General features: G+C 34.2%; 1 protein-coding gene across 1 annotated transcript in view; it reads right to left on the minus strand.

Moving 5' to 3' along the window:
• CSTF3 (cleavage stimulation factor subunit 3) overlaps positions 1 to 20,853 on the minus strand; it is a 76,897-nt gene that overhangs the window by 21,995 nt on the left and 34,049 nt on the right. The window contains exons 4-5 of the mRNA NM_001326.3: positions 1,808 to 1,840; positions 1,325 to 1,422 (exon numbers count right to left, since the gene is read on the minus strand). Coding sequence (NP_001317.1) covers positions 1,325 to 1,422; positions 1,808 to 1,840 — 131 coding nt within the window. The remainder of the gene's footprint in view (positions 1 to 1,324; positions 1,423 to 1,807; positions 1,841 to 20,853) is intronic.

Here is a 20,853-nt window from a genome sequence, read left to right on the forward strand (position 1 = left end):
ATAAATGTATATATAACTAAAATGTAGCTTCTGATCACAGGATCAGAACAACACTTGAACATTCTCTATAAACATAAATTAAAGACATCTTTTAAGTATATAAAGTCGTTCTTTGATGTTAAGCTTGTCAAGATCATAAATTGTTTCCTTTATCTACTGCTTGTGAGCTTATCAAAAATAAGGCTCATGTCTTACTTATCTTTATATCATTTAAGTTGCATAATTCTATACATAGCAGATTCAAATGTGGAAATTTGTGGTTCTCTCATTAATGAGACATTAAGATCTTTAGCTCTAAAGTAAAATGTAGAAATCTGGAAAGTATAGTTTTATTAAAATGCAACTTATGTTAAAATGTAAAGGGTACATTAGGGAAAAAGAACTTCCACTTCAATATAAGACAATAAACAGACCAGGTGTGGTGGTTTATGCCTGTAATTCCAGCATTTTGGGAGGCTGAGGCAGGAGAATTGCTTGAGCTCAGTAGTTTGAGACCAGCCTAGGGACATTAACTTATGCTTGAGACCCTGCTACGTTTGGAGTCTCAAACATAAGGAGACCCCATCTCTACAAAAAAATAGAAAAAAAATCAGCCAGGTGTGGTGGCTCTTGCCTGTAGTCCCATCTACTTGGAAGGCTGAGGTGGGAGGATCACTTGAGCCCAAGAGGTTGAGGCTACAGTGAACCCGTGATTGTGCCACTGCACTCCAGCCTGTACGACAGAGCTGAAACTCTGTCTCAAAACACAAAAATCATAACAAAAAGTATAATCAGGAAAAGACAATAAAGACAGAATTTTAGTAACAGACATAACTTGCCTGTTAGTTACATAGAAAAATGGCACCTCAGAAGAAGGTCCATTATTTAGATTTGGCAAAGATGGGGAGGTGGGTATAATTCGGAGTGGGGATGGCAACTTCACAATACAATTGTCAGAGATCCCTTATATCACTACAAATGTCAGAGACCCCTTAGATCACTTAAGTAGCACATTGCATTGTGACCTCACAAAAGTGGTACTAGCACAAGTATGAAGATGGTTTTTGAAAAAATTTGACAAGTCTGTCAACAAAGTGGTTTGGTGTTGCAATTATACAGTGTTTCAGTATAGAAAGGGCTTGGGCGATTCAATTCTCCAGAGTAAGACTCATGCCAGTGACTTTCTCTGAAGCACTTTTTTCAAGGTTACTAATTCTTAGGAAATCCTGACTTTTCAAATCCTGATAATTCTTCCCACTTGGGGCTAACAGAAGGTGTGAGTTTATGTGGGATTAACTGTGTGCCTGGAGATGACTTGCATTCTTAAGATCCTGGTTTCACTTACTTGTAACTTGGTAGTTTACCCTTGGTTTCTCGGACATATGAAAGATAACACTTCCATAAATCAATGTGCAAAACCTTCATAAGGCATCTCTGAAATAGCTTTAAATACAAGAATATATTATCAGAATCCAGTTAAATAAATTTCACATGGACATAGATGAAATGGAACATTAAAAACACAAATTCAGCTCCCTTTATGAATTTATCTCTTATAAATAAAAAGCAAATAATTTCCCCATTTTCAGTTTAGATAATTAAAATGCTTCTCATGATTTGTCAGGGGAGTATAATTATTTTCTTTTCCTTTTCCAAAACTTTTATGATGAACATTTTCAAGCATATAAAAAAGCTGAATAAGTACAATTAACTTGTAAAAAATCACTATCTAGATTCAATTATTATTAACATTTTACTACATCTGTCTTATACATACTAGGTTTTAAGTTAAACTTCAATATAAAATTCAAAGTATTTGAGGACTCACCTTTTCAACCTTGTCATAATTTTTAGCTTTAATCTGAAGAGAAACAGAAAAATATAGAATTAATACTATTTTTTTAGAGCATCAGTCTGAATTTTTGACCAATTTTTAACCAACTTTGCAAATTCATCCCTATAGTTTCTTATTAATTTTTCTGTTACTTTCAAAAATAACAGAAGTGTGAAGCAAACATGGATAAAATGCATTGTAAATATACCTGTGTAAATTGAATCTATATGGATTTTCATACATTTACATATAAATTTTGTGAATTTAATAAAATTCTGTAAAAGTCATGAGATGAATACAGAAATATACACATACCCGATAGGTCTACCTGAATAGGATGTATCCACTGAAGAAAAACTTAAGGCTTTCCTTTCCCTGTATAGCTACCAGAACAATCTGAGCGGCAAAAAAGATATGCAAATTTGGACTACATATAAACATTCAGTCACACCATCAACCTAATATATTGCAGATATTGTGCTAGGCGTGGGGGCTACCACTGTGACAAGACAGGTCTGCCCCTGCCCTCATAGAGCTTACAATCTTATGGGGAAAATAAGACAACGAAGTGGAAGGTCATTGTAAGATATTATGGTTAAGTGCTAAAATGAAGAAAGTACTGGGTGCTACAGCATTTTGGAAGAGCAAAAGACTTAGACTTGGGGAATTGCAAAAGATTTCCGGGAAAAAGATAACTTTTTCTAGGAGAATCTGAGCTATTTGCTGAAGAAAGGGAAGAGTTATTCCAGGCAGGAGAAATAGCATGTGCAAAGACCAAGATTAAATACTATTAGATTTCTCTTTTCTTTGAGTATTTTCATCACAGAGTGGGTGGGGTTAGGTGCTCAACTGTGTTAATCAGCAAATCTGTTTCACCCAGATAGGTAAATAAATATTTTGGCTGATTAGAGAAGTTTTGGTCCTTTTATCTCAAGTAGTACAGTAATAGAGTAGTATTCCCAGTTTTATGGCTTAAACTACTGCAGGTGAGAATGCTGATGACAGTCTTTTTTGCTTTTGCTGATAACTTGTTCTCTTCTGGACTTTTTTATCTTGATCTTTAGAGTTCATAAATTTTAGCACACACTTAAACACAGCTCTTTGTACTTTGAAGCAGTTCAATCAAGGCTCTGGAGTCAGACCTCTTAGGTTCACAATCTGGCTATCTACTTAACCTCTTTTTCCCTCAGCTGATTAAGGGGGATAATAATACCTACTTTGTCAGGGCTATTCTGAGGACTCAATGAGTTAATAAATGTGAAGCCTTTAGAATATTGCCTAGCAGGTTGAGCACTGAGTAATTATCATTTACTTTTATTACCACAAAATCTGCTTGGAACTCAGCATGCCCTTTGAACCCATATACTCAGGGCTTTTTTTAGGTCAAGAATAAGTGTCTCTCTTCTATTTGTTCCTTTTTTCTCCTTCTAGAACTATATAAGTTAGATCTCCTGGTTCTGTCCTTGAAATCTGTTATCTTTACCCTTCCTTTGAATTTTTGCTCAAGGTGTTAAAATAGTTTGTCCAGTAGATTCCCCAGGCAATTCATTTAGGGCTCCATGTGAATATTCTCTTCCACTTAGCCTATTACTGTATTTGGTTCATACATAACGGTTTTAGACTCCAGAGTTTTTAATACAGCACTTTGAATCCTGTGTTCATATTACTTTGTTCCAGTTGTATTTCTCCTCTAGCAGCTCTATTTTGTTAAGGACCTGATAGTTTTAGTTTATATTCCTTTCTGGTTGGTGGATCCTTCAGATGTGCTATTATTTTTTCCTGCCTATTCACTGAAGCTGTGTTGGCAGTCCTAAAGTAGTAGAAATTGACCCTTCTCTACCATGACAGCTGTGTAGCAGGTGTAGGCAGCAAACAAGCTGCTGCTAGCCCTCTGCCAAGAAACCAGAAAGAAATCTCTACTCAAGAGTAGGGAGGACTCAGCCAAGAGGCCAGGCTGATGTCAACATTCGTCTGGGGTAAAGACATTTGAGGGGTTCCAAATTTTCTATGGGTCAGCTTCTTAGTCCTTTCCCTAGGCCCTCTACTGGGCCTCTTCTTTGAGATTCCCATAGAACCTGAAGCTTCCTTGCATTCGGCTGCTTGGCTTAGTAGAGGTAAACAGAGTGGGAATAAAGTAGGATGAATTTAAATCACCAGCTTCCTAGGTGCAGTTGAGATTATATACAGTTCACACAACTGGTCAGGAAAACCAAAGCTACCCATTGAGAAAATAGGCATAGAATATTAATAGTTAATTCCCAGAAAAGAAAATTTAAATGGTTAAAAGCTATATGACAATGTGTAAACTTCCAATGTGGGAAAGACAAATTAAAATAATAGATATTACTTAAAAACCATTAGAATGGCAAAAACTTACAAAGGTATTAACACTACTGAAGCCATGTAATGAAAAGGCACTTCATACACAGCTGGAGGAAATATGAATTGTTACAGCATTTTTGAAAAGCCATTAGTAACAGCTATTCTAATAAAAAAAAAATGTATCTTTTGACGCAGGAATTCCACTCCTAGGATCTATCCTATAAAAATAAAAGCAGGCCGGGCATGGTGGCTCACGCCTGTAATCCCAGCACTTTGGGAGGCCAAGGTGGGCAAGTCACAAGGTCAGGAGTTCGAGACCAGCCTGGCCAACAGAGTGAAACCCCGTGTCTACTAAAAATACAAAAAATTAGCTGGACATAGTGGCCGGCGCCTGTAATCCCAGCTACTCGGGAGGCTGAGGCAGGAGAATCACTTGAACCCGGGAGGCAGAGGTTGCAGTGAGCTGATATCACACCACTGCACTCCAGCCCAGGCAAGAGACTCCATCTAAAAAAATAAAATAAAAATAAAAGCAACAGAATAGAGAGGTAATTGTACAAGATTACTTACTGTAAACTTTGTAGTAGCAAAAACAGTTTAAAAATCAAATGTCCACCAGTGGGGAAATAGTTTAATAAATTATGATGCATTCGCATCATGGAATATTATGTATTCAGCTTTAACAGGTAATTGGGAGGAATTGCCACAAGATCTTATTGAATGAAAAGATAGTAAAATTTATATAATCTATCTTTATAAAATAAATAAAAATAAATCCTATATATGTTTATGTATTATTAGCATAGAGAAAAATAAGGAATACCCACAAGGTTGTTAAACATAATTATGGTTGGCAGGGTGATACGGGTGGATGCAAAAATAGAGACAAGAAAAAAGACTTTACTATCATCTATGCATTTCAGTAAAAATTATGTCTATTATGTATATCTACGAAATAACCAAATTTTGCATACCCGTCCCCAACAAAGTGGTCCCATATCTTGGATTCATCAATTATTTCTTTAATTGGTAAATTGGTATTAGCCCAATAAATGTATGTAGAAAGACACTTTTGACTAATACAGAAAAATTCTCTGATCTCTAGTACGTGGCCACTGATTGTCATTCATTAATGCAACCAGTAAATATTATTTGAGAGACCTTCTACAGAGCTGGTACTGGTGGCCTTACCACAATAGCTATAATCTCATTATTTTTTAAAACATCATTCATTAAAAAAATACTTTTAAAAATCATTGGCCAGGCACAGTGGCTCATGCCTGTAATCCCAGCACTTTGGGAGGCCAAGGCGGGCAGATCACCTGAAGTCAGGAATTCGAGACCAGCCTGGCCAACGTGATGAAACCCCGTCTCTACTAAAAATACAAAAATTAGCTGGGCATGGTGGCGCACACTTGTAATTCCAGCTACTCAGGAGGCTGAGGCAGGAGAATCACTTGAACCCAGGAAGTGGATGTTGCAGTGAGCTGAGATTGTGCCATTTCACTGCAGCCTGGGTGACAAGAGCGAAACTCTGTGTGGAAAAAAAAAAAAAATCATCAATGTGCTTTGGAGATTAAATCTGCAGTGTGACAAAATGAAAAGAATTTGATCACATTGCATTAATTACTTCCTCTCTTACAGTATCAGCTTTTCCACCTATAAAATGGGAATGATAATAACATCCATTTCAAAGGGTTATCAAGAATTAAAAAGAATATAAAGCATCTAGATGTTCCAGGTGCCCATAAATCATACTAGTCAACAAAGCTATAAACTAAAGGAGTATAACTTTTCATTATATCTTCTCTAAACAGAACTATGTAAACCAAGTAGCCAGAAAGAGCAATGGTGTTACTATAATTGGCCCATTTGATGCAGAGGAAAAATGCAGGCCATATTCAAATGGCATTATTGGTGAGACTAGCACACCAATACCCTGTCTTTAGCCATCCCACCATTTTCCTTCTTTAAAAGATTATTATCCTATGTATTACTTACTAATATTTACATGAAAACATCTTAGCTATAAGTATTCCATTCTACCTGATAATCAAAGCCTGGTTTAAATTCTAAAAATAAAAAAAAATTCTTGATACCTAAGATTACTTTGTTTTGACATTTGGGATTCTCAGAACTTCCTGCCATTAATCAATAGAAAATGTCTCCATTTAAAGACCATTATAGGTCTCCATTTAAAGACCATTATAAACCACATTACATGTGGCTCACACCTGTAATCCCAGTGCTTTGGGAGGCCTCGGTGGGTGGATTGCTTGAGGCCACGAATTCAAGACCAGCCTGGCCAACATAGTGAAACCCCGTCTCTACTAAAAATATAAAATTAGCTGGGCATGGTGGCGCATGCCTGTAGTCCCAGCTACTCGGGAGGCTGAGGCAGGAGAATCATTTGAACCCAGGAGGTGGAGGTGGCAGTGAGCAGAAATCGCACCACACACTCCAGCTTGGGCAGCAGAGTGAGACTTTGTCTCAAAATAAATAAATAAATAAATAAATAAATAAATAAATAAATGAATAAGACCATTATATGCATACAAATAATTTTGCAAAACTTACTAAGACTTGCTTATATTTAATCTATTAAAAGTAGTGCATCATTTTCAATGACAGAGGCTCTTAATAGAATTAACTTTAAGCCAGGTGTGGTGGCATATGCCTGTAATCCCGGCTGCTTGGGAGGCTGAGGTGGGAGGATTGCTTGAGCCCAGAAGTTTAAGGCTGCAGTGTGCTATGATCACACCATTACATTTTCAGCCTGGGTGACACAGCAAGACCCTGTCTAAACAAACAAACAAACAAAAAACAAATAAATACTTATCTGGTACACATACTATCATAAAAATTTGTCATACAATTACATTACCTTTTTAATGAATTATCCAAATTTTACAAAGATATGAAAAGTGTCTATTGAGAAAAAATAATAAATTTTTTAAATCTTCAACTTCCTTTTTTTTAATAGAAGAGTATGATAATTAGAATAGCAATATCAAGATCAATTAACCTTTAAGTTTAATTACATTCAAATCAGTGGTTAACGGCCAGGTGCAGTGGCTCATGCCTATAATCCCAGCACTTTGGAAGGCTGAGGTGAATGGATCTCTTGAGCCCAGGAGTTTGAGACCAGCCTGGGCAACATAGCAAGGCCCCATCTCTGTTTAAAAAAAAAAATCAGTGGTTATCTTAGGGAGAGTAAAACAAGTATAACATGATGAGGAAACACAGATCTTTTCCCAATACTTTTGAATACTTCATATTTCCAGGCCTTTGTTAACTTCCACAATTATTTCCCAAGCATTAATTGGTCATCACGTATCTTTTGGAACTAAAACTATCCTCAGATAAATTATTGGAACTAATGATCACCTATTACTTAATAGGTTAAAACAAAATTAATTACTTAATTTTTAAAGTGTTAACTTTGCCAGAAAAGGTCTAATGACCCTTTGACTAACATCTATTTTTAACAGTTTAGACTAGCCATGTCCTTTCCCTGGAATATATTTATATTGAGATCTAAAGAAAGCATGATATTCACTTGTTCAAAAATAAATGAGTTTTTCCTAATGTTAGGAACATATTTCATGCTTCATTGGATGTTTTAGGAAATGCTGATGTAAGTGCCGACAAAATTCACATTTTTCTGACCAGAGAAATAAAACTCTATGTCAACAGCATTTTGACAGGTTTCCTCAAATTCAATTTTTTCCCTTATCCCTTGGGGAAAAAAAAATCCCATAAAGTCAAAAGTTTTAAAAAGTACGCTGTTTTTAAAATCACCAGTTATAAGAATCATTATACAATTAACTTGAAATGGTTTAAAAACATATTTGAGGCTGGGTGCAGTGGCTTACACCTGTAATCCCAGCACTTTGGGAGGCCGAGGCGGGTGGATCACCTGAGGTCCGGAGTTCGAGACCAGCCTGGACAACATGGTGAAACCCCATTTCTACTAAAAATACAAAAATTAGCTGGGCATGGTGGCAAGCGCCCGTAATCCCAGCTACTTGGGAGGCTGAGGCAGGAGAACTGCTTGAACCCGGGAGGTGGAGGATGCAGTGAATCGAGACTGCACCATTGCACTCCAGCCTGGACAAGAGCGAAACTCTGTCTCAAAAAAAAAAATTGATAAATAAATTAACCTGACATAACTCTATAGAGGAACACCAAGAAGCTTTATAATCTAAAGGAAAAAGTAAGTCTCTATATACTTTGTGTAGGTTTTCACACAATAACCATTTGGGACAAGTCAACACTTAGGTTTTCAGACAGTACTGGGCACATAGCAGAGGCAGGGCTAGGATCCATCTAAAGTGAGTTCTTATGGTAGTTGTTCACAATGTGAACAAACGAATAAATGAATTGCAGTCGCATTCCTAACTTGTTCCCTGCATCTTTTCTACTCTAAAGTATAGCACATAGACTTTCCTAGGACTTAAGACAATCATCTTAAACTGAATTTGAGATGCAGAGAAGCTGTCTGATTCTACTTGTATTAATTATCCAAAAAGCTTAGCCAAATCCTGAAATCTGAAAGCAAATGGAATCCTAAATATAAATTCATCTCCTGTTCATTTACTTTTTCACTACTCTTTTCAGCTATTCTCTAATCCTCTGCAACCTGAAAAATATCTTGGAAGATTACAGAATACAAGTCGTTTTAAGGAATTTGGAAATATTGAAGAATGACATTTTAAGATCTACAAACAGGCTTTTAAGTTAGCTGCTGGAGTGGTTGCAGAATATTCTTCTTTCCACCACCCACTCCCAATTTTAAGGTAAAGAAATCAGGAAAGTAGTGTCTGCAAATAAATTCATTTTTATTTGACAAATAATTAAGTGCCTACTATGTGTGACAAATAATTAAGGCCCTTTTCTAGCACTGGAGATAAAGTGGTGGATTAAACTAAGTCATAACTCATGGAATTATATTTTGGTTATATTTTGGGAGGCAGCCACTACCTAAAGAATAGTTTTCTTTATCTGTACTTCCTAATTTTCCTATGATAAATTGTATTGTTTCTGCAATTTGTATTTTCATATTAAATATAGATATAAATGCCAGGTGTAGTAGTTCATGCCTATATCTCAGCATTTTGGGAGGCCGAAGGGAGAGGGTCACTCACTTGAGGCCAGGAATTTGAGACCAGTCTGGGCAACATGGTGAGATTCTGTCTATAAAATTAAAAATATAAATATGTACATACAAATGTATACCTATAATATATACTGATTTAGATATAACAGGTTGGCCACAACCTCTACATGTCCTATAAACTTTCAATTATCCAGGCCCTTAAATATATCACAGAACTACTTGTCAAAAATGAGTGTAAATTATAGACCACTGTGAAGTATAGTTTAATTATGATTAAAATTGAAATGTGCTAAACAAAACTATGATTATCTTTGGGTCTAGATTAAATTTAGTTTCATTTTAATTCCTTGTACTAACCATTAGGTATTAATTAGTCTTCCACTTTCCCAAGCCAACTAAAAAGTATTTGTCATGTGTCCTTAGGATTTACCAAGTGGAAGTGGGGATGTGGACCTGAACTATTAAAGAGTTTATGACCCAGTTGAAAACATAAAACTAATGATGGAAACAATAAAGGACTAAATTTAAGTTTAAATTATTTTGTGTATGCTCTATGTCCTATAAGATTCAGAGGAAAAGGTGTTCCATGCAAACTAGAGTTAACAAGGAAAGCTTCACTGAGCAGATGGTATCCAGGCCATTAATGAAAAAAAGGAGTCTGTACAAGTCAATGAAACAACATGAGTTTCTTTAGTTTTTGGTGGAATAATGAGGACATCCAAGCAAGAAAAAAAGAATATGCATAGGAAAAATAAGTTGGCTGATTATGGTGAAGGTCCATTACAGAGGGCATAAAAAGGCAGAGTTAAATCTGACACACAGAAAACCTTACTGAATGCCACTGAGGTTTTCCTGGCAGGTAAACAATGAGGAAAGTTGAAAAAAGATGACTCATAAGTAGGTTAGGGAATACAGGCTGGGGAGAATACAGAGGTGGCTTTTAGTGCTATGGGATGAGACAAGCAGGTACTAGCTACAATAGGAAAGATGCTATTGCTGTCATCCTTAAGTGGGGTAATACTGGCTTTGGCTCAGAGAAGGTAGAACAAGGAGAGAAAACCAGTAATGTAGAGGGAAGAACAACAGACTTTTTTTTTTTTAATGGGAACAAGAATGAAAAGTGTTATGAGAGTTGCTGTAAAGTTTACTTTTTATTAGGTTTATTATGAGGTGACACAACTCAGGTATAAATTGTCTGATTAAAGTTAGCAGATGGGGGTTGGTTTCATCAATAAGACAGTGGAATTAAAGATGCATATTTGTCATTTGTAAAAAAAACTTTTCTTATAAATATGTAGGGTATACAATACCTAAGGCATTAAGTATATTCTCTGAAGTAGAGAATATTCAGACAAGCAAAGACTCATTTCTCCAAACTATCCATTCCCAGGCAACAAAAAGGAAGAGAACCCCAGAGTACTTGACATAAGAAAAACAGGATATAATAATATGTATGAAGTCAAAGATGAACATTATAAGAAAAAGGGATCTGGTGGAATATGCCACAGGTCAAAAATAAGGGTATACGAAGGATCTGGCAATAAGAAACTCATTGCTTATTACACACTTAAAAGTTGAAGCAATTCAGCTTCTTATAATTTAAAATGACTAAATACTGCTAATACTAGCAGCATTTATTAAATATTTAATGTTTGTAAGCACTACTCCAAGATTTTATATGTATTAACTCATTTAATCCATAAACAGCACTCAGGTAAAGTACTATTCCCTACTTAAAGATGAGAAAACTGAGGCACAAGGAGATTTAATAACTTCCCCCAGATCACACAACTGAGCTCTTAACCACTATACTATACTGCTCTCAGCACAATATATATATATATGAGGATGTTCATTGAAAGAGTACACAGAAAATTTGAGAACCTATATTACCAAAAGGTAGAATGATTAAACTGTGCTTTGTCTAAGTAATTGTTTTGTCTAAACAATGGGATGAGATATAGATATATACACACCCACAGGAACTTTAAAAGCAATGATGTATAATACTGAATGGAAATATATCCATAGTACATTTAAGAAGTGAAATCCAAAAAATATATACTGAGTAGGAAGAAATGCACACAATAACTGTTGACCAAAACTATTTTCACTGGAAGGATTGAGACAATTTTTCTGTCTCAGTTACATTTTATTTTCATATCAATTTCACAAAGGAGAGAGTTGGGATTTTTAAAAAATAACTCAACATTTTCTTTTTTATCTCTAATCTCATGACAGATTAGGGATTTTTTTTTTTTTTTAATAAGAGAAAGAAAATTACAGCTGATTTTGAACGGTAAGTTTCTCTTCGGAGTAATTCATTGGTATTTTTCTCTGAACATAAACATCCCCACTTTAAAATCTACTTTTAAATCCTCTCAAATTCTTAGCCAGGCCTATGAGGATTTAAAAAGTTAAATAAATGCTAGATAAATTAGACAATACTAATTTCAGTCAAGAATCTCAAAGGTAAAACCTTGGCTCAGATTTGATTTTGTCCCAATATATAGGGCATCTATCAACAACCATCACTTAACATTTATAGACTCAGCCTACTTTACTTAATAAACATCTAAACTCTGTAAATAACTTGTCAACAGCATGCCAAACATTACCTTTCAAAGAATAATCTGTAATTTTGGGGTAAGAAAAATACAGCAGGGTATTTGCTTTTTGAGAAAAGTGAGTAATTTAGCCAGAAGTATCAAAATCACTAGTTAACATTCATGGCTCAATTGGTTTTGCTACTCTACCTCCCATTAGGTCATCTCCCCTGTCTCTCCTCAAAATTGCTGAGTGGCATAGATCTTTCTAAAGGTTAATTAAAATTGAGACTAAGAAATGTGTACAATCATTTGAGACGCTCCAGCTATCAGGAAAGTCAAGAAATCAAGTTCATAAACCTCTGATCTAAAAAAAAAAAACAAAAAATGACATTAATTCCATACTGCACAGCCAGAATGGTAATCAAGTAGATTGCTGATTTGCTTCCCTCAAACGTCTAATATTAGTTTATTGCACATCAACTTATAGTCTTTTCTACCTTAATTTGCAGCTTTTATGAACTATCATCTTAATAAAAGTCCTTCCAGGCAAACTTAAAATATTAAACAATATAACTTCTCTAGTATTACTACAGGAACTTTATATATTGCTTTATAAAATATTATAATATCTAATCTCACTTTTGTTTGCTGAGTTAATCTTCCATTAGTCACATGACTTTTTTTTAATGTGCAGAGGGGAAGTTGTTCAGAAAACCATTTACTTAAAACTGTTTATAATTCATTCATCTCTTACTGTACTTCTCACTACATACAAATTGAAAACTGCTGTTTAAAAATATTAGCAATTGTATTATCACTGGACAAAAGCCTTTAGTCATTTCCTCTACTTGAGATATTCTAGTTCACTAATCAAGACAATCTTTCCCATTTTGATAGAGATTCCTATCAGAATACTATTTCTCTTACTTAATTTTCAGTGTCATCCAATGAATTCACATTTTTTTCCATGTAACTTTCTTGTTGGCAATTTAATTCTAAGTACACATTTATTTATTCTATGAAATCAAGTATAACATTTATAGTAGATACCCAGTATCATGAGTAATGCTTCATTTAACCTTTCTTAAAAATCACTTTCCAAAAACAGGATTAAACTTCCACAATGAAGTAGATACAAATTCAATGGATTGCTTTTCTGTATTTTTTAAGCAACTTGCCCACTCCTCTAGTTTTTACCTATTAGTAGAGAAGCATAATTTTAGAAATAGCCCATTTCCTCATTCTATAAAACTCACAGTATATTCCTCAGACTACTTTAGTTTTTATCAATACTGCTACTCCAATACTTTTAACTTTACATCAGAAATTATATTCTAATTCTATTCTGCAACTGTTTTTGATACCCTATCACTTTTTCCAAGAACATACAATCAACATTTGTATTATGACCCAATTCTAGCCTTCTCAATCCTATATGGATAGTTTATTTCTATTTTGTTGTTGAAGTGACCTAATTCCAAGTTCCTTTTTAGAAAATGCTTATCAAATAATCATCGTTTTCCCCAAAATTGTATATTTATTCAACCCTGTTTCTCTATTCTTGAACAAAGTACACATTGGTCATATTTACTTAAATTCTGAAAGATTAAAAAATCATTACCCAGCTCAATTCAAAAGATCACACCAGCAACAGCAACCTTTGATAGTAAAATATGAATTCTAAAAGGTCAATCTAAAGAAACAATTATGACTATGTAAAAATATTGAAATAAAATTGTATTCATGCAAGAGATTCTTATAAAACAAAAACTGGAAACACTGTAAATGATAATTAGGACTGGCTAAACAGCATGTATCTAGGATGTACTACTGTGCCACCATTAAAAGCGATTTTATAGACTAAATAACACAAAAATATGCTACCATGTGGAAAAAACAAGCTACAAAAAGTTAAGGTTTTATAGACAGATCTGGAAAAGTTAACTGTGATTAAGTTATAGTTCAAAGGTAGTGGGAATATGGTTTTTTTCTCCATTAGAGTTTTTTTCTTATAATAAACACATATATTACCCTTTTAAATAAGAAAAATGTTTTCCTTTTTGTAACAATCTTGACAAACTCCACTTTCCCTCCCATCTCTCAGGTTTCAATCACTTGATATTACTTCATTATGCTTGCCTTTTAAAATTCAACCACTTAATTCCAAAAATATTATTTGTGCATGTATTTAGGTTAAGTGTATTTTCTCAGTAGTCCATCTAGGTATTATTCTGCTTACTCAGAAAACAAGCGAGTCAACATAATTTAAAAAATTCCACAAAGGCATAACGTTTTTTATTTCACAGCACCTAGAACAAAGCCTAACATATAGCAGACATTCAATAATAATTGCTAAATAAATGTGGATAAAACTACCAGTTACTATTCACATATTCATTCAAAAATAGGTTTTAGATTATACTGTCTTAAATATCAAGGGAAATGAAAAATGTAAATGTATAACTTTTACAGAAAGGTCTTTATGAGTCCTATAATCCTTGTTAAAATATTAATTTAAAACCTCACTTCAATAAAAAGGTTTAGAAAGGGTGCTAAGTATAATACTATCAGTAAATTCAGACTAAAATGGAGGAATAATTGAAGCTCTAATATGGATTTTGAAAGTTAGATTTTTCACAGGATTTCGATCTTTCCGTGAGCACACCCAAATCAATTCCATTTTCCATTACTTTTCTTGAATGAAAACATGATTTCTATTTGAAGCAAAAATGCTGTTTCAAATAGCCATGTAAAAGATGGGAAATTAGGAACTTTGGAGGTTTGAAAAGTAGACATAGCTAACCAATTAAGAAAAACAAAGAAAAAATTCAGGTAAATATTAAGTTCCAGGAGAATCAAGAAGATTTAGACGTGAATTTCTTTTTTCTAATGGGCATGTTCCAAAATTGAAATTTTGGCTCTATTTTAATGGCTTCAGTCTACGTACTTATCTCCAGAATATTTATAAAATTATTTCATAAAATCTACTAGATTTTAAAACTTTTTCCTAACTTTATGAATTCCTGAGTGCATTTCTCCAAACACGGCCACATTTAAAGGCTTAACGAAAACATATCCTATTTTCTCTGGAATCTTATTTTATAGTTTGAAATGTTTGTATTTCATTTTACCTCCTCTAATTATATTTGTGATATTTTCCAAAGTGATGCCACCAAAGGTAAAGAATTAAGTTCAAATGCTATATGGAAAGCTGCCATGAAGGCTTTAGTAGGCAAGAATGAAATGAAGATTATATTGATATTCCTGCTCTAAGAACAGACCCTTATGGTGCTGTCATTAAAATGTAAAGACAGTTGAAGGGAAAAAAACCTGAATGGCAAGCTCTGGGTTAAGGTGGTGATACTTTCACCAGCAAATGAAGTCTGCAGTGGAAGGCTCCCCAAATCTAATAAACACATATGGCCATTCTTCCTAGTTGATTCTACTATACAGGTCTAATTTTGTCCATGACTACTATAACAGGTCAGTAGAGATATCAGATTATCAAAAGCTGTGACATGTAAGAAATAAAAAAATTAAATTAACAACAACAACAAGTTTCCTAATGCTGTTTCTCAAAGAAACTGAGCTCCTGGCAGCCCTTTCCCAATCAATACCTAAACCTGAGGAAGGAAAGGAGAGCAGGCATAAAACCACTTTCTGTTCTCCCCATATCCCATCATCCTACTGCAAAATGCACAGAAACAAGATATAAAATAATCTATGGATTAGCTTTCAAATTACTACAATTGAGATACATTGTTGGATAGCAAAGTGTGCATGTTGAAAACCAAATTCTATAAAGTATTTAATTAGCTCACCAATGGGAAAGAAAACTGGTTTTGAAATGTTTACTGTTAATAGAATATAATCCTTATATATAAACTCACTTCAAAAGGATCTGATTGTTGAAAGATGCCTTCATGATTTTGATATCTCTATATACATGACCTTATTATTCTCTATATACATGACCTTATTGAAAATCTGTAATGTGAATCAAGATTTTTCTTCATAACTATTTCATAAGCAAATCAGTTTTCAGGAAAAAAATATATATGTACAAAACTATTTTCATTATATAACAGTATGTGAGTCTCCTCATGTCTAATGTTGAGATGCAACATAAAAAGCTTAAAAAGATGAAAAAAATAATTTGCAAACATTAAGACTTAATTAAAATGGGAAATCAGAGATTTGGCCAACAGAAGAAATACTTAAGCACAAAACACACATTTGAAAGAAAATATAGGCCGAGCATGGTGGCTCAAGCCTGTAATCCTAGCACTTTGAGAGGCCAAGGCTGGTGGTTAGACTGAGTCCTGGAGTTCAAGACCAGCCTGAGCAACAGAGCAAGACCCTGTCTCTACAAAAAAATACAAAAATTAGCTGGGCATGGTGGCATGCACCTGTAGTCCCAGCTACTTGAGGGGCTGAAGTGGGGGGATTGCTGGAGCCTAGGAGGTGGAGGCTGCACTAAGCCGTGATCACACACTGCACTCCAGCCTTGGCAACACAGTGATATCCTGTCTCAAAAAAAAAAAAAAAAAAAAGAAAAGAAAAAAGAAAAGAAAAGTATGTAAAACAGGTCAGTAAGAACATCAAAATAACAAAGGAAAGTATGTTCTTTTATCTCAGAACATATTTATCATTCCTTCCATTTCTGACAATGAGAAAAACAGGTAAAGCAATAAATGTAACACATTATTTAAATGTTTTATCAAAATTATTTCAACTTCTAAATGGGAAATTGTGCTAACATTAAAAGTTTCCCTTAACTTCCCTAATGTGCTCTTGTAAAGATGAAAAAAAAAAACAAAAAAATGGACTAGAGAGATTAGTTCTCAGAAAAAGAAATCCAAAGGGCTCTTAAAAATGAAAATATGCTCAATCTCATTCATAAGGGAAATGCAAATGAAAACCACACTGAGAGGACCATTTTTTACTTATAAGTACTGGCAAAAATTAAGATTATAAAACATTGTGTAAAGAGGATTTGGAAAAATGGGCCCTTTACAGGATTATCAATGGGATTTAAAACTATGACAACCTCTGTGGAAGAACATTAGGAAATAGAAAATTCAAATAAACCCCATATACTCTTTGATCCAGCAATTCCATTTCTAGGAATTTAATCTACAAGAATATTTACACAAATGGAAATGATATGTACACAATTACTGCAGTACCGTCTGTAATAATATATAAGACAGGGAAAAAACTTACATGTCCTTCAGTAGGAGACAAGTTAAAAGAAACATAGAATATTATGTACTTGTAGAAAAAGATTTCCAAAAGTTACTTTCTTAATAAAAAAAAGGTGCAAAACAAAATGTAATAGATATTTATTAATGTAAAGGACAGAACACATGAATGTATGTGCATTAAACATCTCTAGATTCTGAACATTGTCTCTGAGGGGAACTGGTGCCTCAAGAACAGGGGTAGGTGACTTTTCACTGTAGGTTTCTTTTGTTATCTTCTGATTTTTGAACCTTATTTTAATATATACACATATACATATGTGTATACATATATGAATATAAATACACATATATATGGAATGTCTAGGTGACATATAACTTTTGAGTTTTTACATTTAAACACATATCTATATTTTCATCAATTCTCAAAACCGTATTCCAAAAACCCCCAAAATGTTAAAATTTGCAAAAAATGTACAAATAAAACACAATATGCATTATGCATACAGAAATTAGATGTATAATATTGTCAAAACTATTTAACATTTTTTAATGTAAAGGATTACCTTTGCAGCCTCTAAACATAGTATAATTTAAGCATTTAAAAAAGAAAACTATCAACCTTAACACAAACTGGTAAAGTCCAGAGGCACTACCATAAAAATTTAGTTCATTTAGTTAATTTCCAAACCTAAAAAATGAATACTAATGAATGGAATTTGACACTGGCGTAACTCAAGATTATTAAAAATACTAATTTCCAACCAAGTCAAAGGGTTATTATAAACATTTAACAATAAAATTGAAGTGATATACTTGGGTAAAAATTTAACTGAAATTCAGCATTTAAGAAACTACTTGTTTAATGCCCAAACTGTAAACTTGTGGCACTAAACCAATCAAGTGAGATTTATAATTCTACTTATAATAAACATAAAAATAAAACTCATAATCATTTTTGCCCTGAAAAAAGTGAAGCTAAAAACAGACCACCAATTCAAATTCCAGTAAGAGTCCTTTCACTTATGAAAACTTTCATTGGAACAGAGTGACTTTAGGCTAGGAAGCAAATATGAAGAGAAACCTGGATACTTAATAAATGAGCTTGTAATTTAATATATGTATTTAAGTTATACCTACAATTGGACATGTTCAAAAATGCATGCGTAACTTCCACAATGGTATTTTATTAACATGACTCTGGGTACAGAACTTTCAAGTTGACAGCTATTTTCTTTCAGCAAACTGAAGAGTCAATTCCACTGTCTTCTAGCTTCCCTTGCTGCTGTGAAGTTACCAACCTTACTGCCATTCCTTTGAAGGTCATTTATCTTTTTGTTTCCAACCATTTATGTGATTTAAGAAAAAAAACTTTAGTTTTCTATAGTTTCATCCTCATGTGTCCAGTTGTGAATTTTTAAAATTACTGCTTGGGATTCAATGAGCATCTTGAATCTGTTGAAGCCTTCAATCATTCTGGAAATTTCAGTATTTCTCTCTTCAAATTGTGCTTCCGCCCCATGTAGTTCCTCTACTTCTAGAACTTCAAGTAGACACATTTTCACACTATCAATTTGTGTCTCAGATATCCCTTTCATATTTTCCATCTAATTGGCTCTTTAAGCTCCATTCTGGATGCCTTCAGTTCTCCAATTCTCTCTTCACCTGTGTTATTAAGCTAATCTTATCTAAATTCTAGTTTCTGAAGTCTTTGGAGGTCTGTTTCTGATGTATGTGGTTTCCTTATATGCTTATTTTTAACAACTGATCTGTTCCTTTCCCTTCAAAGATTATTGTGGAAACTCTCTGAGGCGTAGGAAGAAGGTGCATTCCTCCAGAAAGGGTATGAATAAGCTATTACCACCTATTAGGGGTATAATTCAGGCTGAGTCTACTTTACATACATGGCTTCAGTTTTTCTGAATCATTCTCAGGTGATGTTTATTCACACAAATCCACATAAAGAACATCTCAGGATTCCCCCATTCTGCTCTACTCAGACGGACGCAACTTTTCTCAGTCCCTTACAGGTAGGAAGGTGGCATGGATTTACTTCTAGATCACTGTCATCCTGAGTGTAGCTTTTGGAGCACATAGTTTAAGGGGAAAGGATATCCCATTGGACACTGTACCTTGGGCAGGCCTTGGGTTTTGACTTTTGCTGCCTGAGGTCCTGAAGCGTTTAAAATTGAAGCTCAAGTCTTCCCAGTTTGGCAGTTGCTTTCAGGGCCAAAACAGTTTAGGCATTCTGCTTATCTCCTCGCGTTCCTTTTTTCTCCCTCCCCAGTCCATTAGGCTTTGACCTGGTAATTCCTTAGTGCTGTAAGTTCAATGTTAATAAGACATTCTTAAAATTCTACCTAGCAGCCTTAGCTGTTTTCAGTGAGAGAGCTAATCTGAGTAACCTAACTCACCATATTACCTGCTAGTCTCCTTCATAGTATTTTATTAATATCAAGCTTTCAAAAAGATTAGAAAAAAAATGTGTGCAAACTACCTTGAAAAGTAACTAAAAACTCTAAAATCCAATGTTCACTGAGGCACTAAATTCCAAAAGTAATCTATTAAAGAAGCCAGATCTGGTAAAAATCTGGTCAGGCACAGTGGCTCATGCCTGTAATCCCAACACTTTGGGAGGCTGAGGCGGGAGGATTGCTTGAGCCCGAGTTCAAGACTAGGCTGGGCAACTTAAGACCTTGTCTCTACAATTAATCAGGCGTGGTGGCCTGCAACTGTGGTCTTGGCTACTCAGGAGGCTGAAGTGGGAGGAACACTTCAGCCCACACGGTGGAGGTTACAGGTTACAGTGAGCGGAGTTCAAGCGACCGCACTCCAGCCTGGGTGACAGAGTAAGAACCTGACTCCAAAAAAAAAAAGTATAAATCTTTCTCTTATGTTATACATCAACATAATTCTAAATAATGTGAAAGCAGCTTACTCTGAAATACTTAAATATTTAGGGGTATTAGACAATTCAAAAGAACAGTTTCTTTTTAGTGTTCTAAAAATAAAGACATTTTTTTAACCTGTCACAGTAAAGGTATCAGCCAATCACAATTTTATATTCATGAAAATACATCTTGTTATAAACTGAAATAACTCATTTTACTTTTTTTGAGACCTTTGAATTTTTAGAAATTCAACTTGTAAAATACAATTATTTCCCACTGTGGATTTTTAATTCAACAAGTATTCATAGTGCCATTATATGCCAAGCATTATTGTAGCTTCCTGGAATATAGCAACATACAAAAGAGACAAACTATAAGTAAATTATTCAGTACATTAGGTGATGAGTATTATAGGGGAAAAGGAGAACTTGGTAAAGGATAAGGAGTTCTGCAGGGGATAGAAGTGGCAATTTTAAACAGAGTGGTCACAGTAGATCTCAATGAGAAGTTAACATTTTTGTAGATCTGAAGAAAGTAAAGCAGCTAGCAAAGCAGCTATCTGGAAAAATATCTTTAGAACAGATAAAAGAGCTAATGTAGACAAAAGCCCTAAGGGAGGAATGTCTGGAATAAATTTAAGGAACATCAAGGAGGCCAGTGTGACTAGAGAATAGACTTTACTATTAATATGTGGATTATCTATCATGCAGACATTATGCACAAATTTTTATACTTGTGGGTATCCTAGCATTTAATAATTTTCTACTAATTATTAAATCAGCCTACCTGAATGTACTAAAAAAACCTGATTCTTAAACATACAAATGTTAGGCTTTTCACATAATTACTAAGAATACAGATATAAATTCATTTAAAATTCATCAATTTAAAAAATTGTATCAGAACTCTAATTCAGTGATCAAAGTTCCATTATAATCCTCATTTACTCTTAACA

Source organism: Homo sapiens, chromosome 11 (genome assembly GCF_000001405.40).
Source record: "Homo sapiens chromosome 11, GRCh38.p14 Primary Assembly".
Classification (NCBI taxonomy): Eukaryota; Metazoa; Chordata; class Mammalia; order Primates; family Hominidae; genus Homo; species Homo sapiens.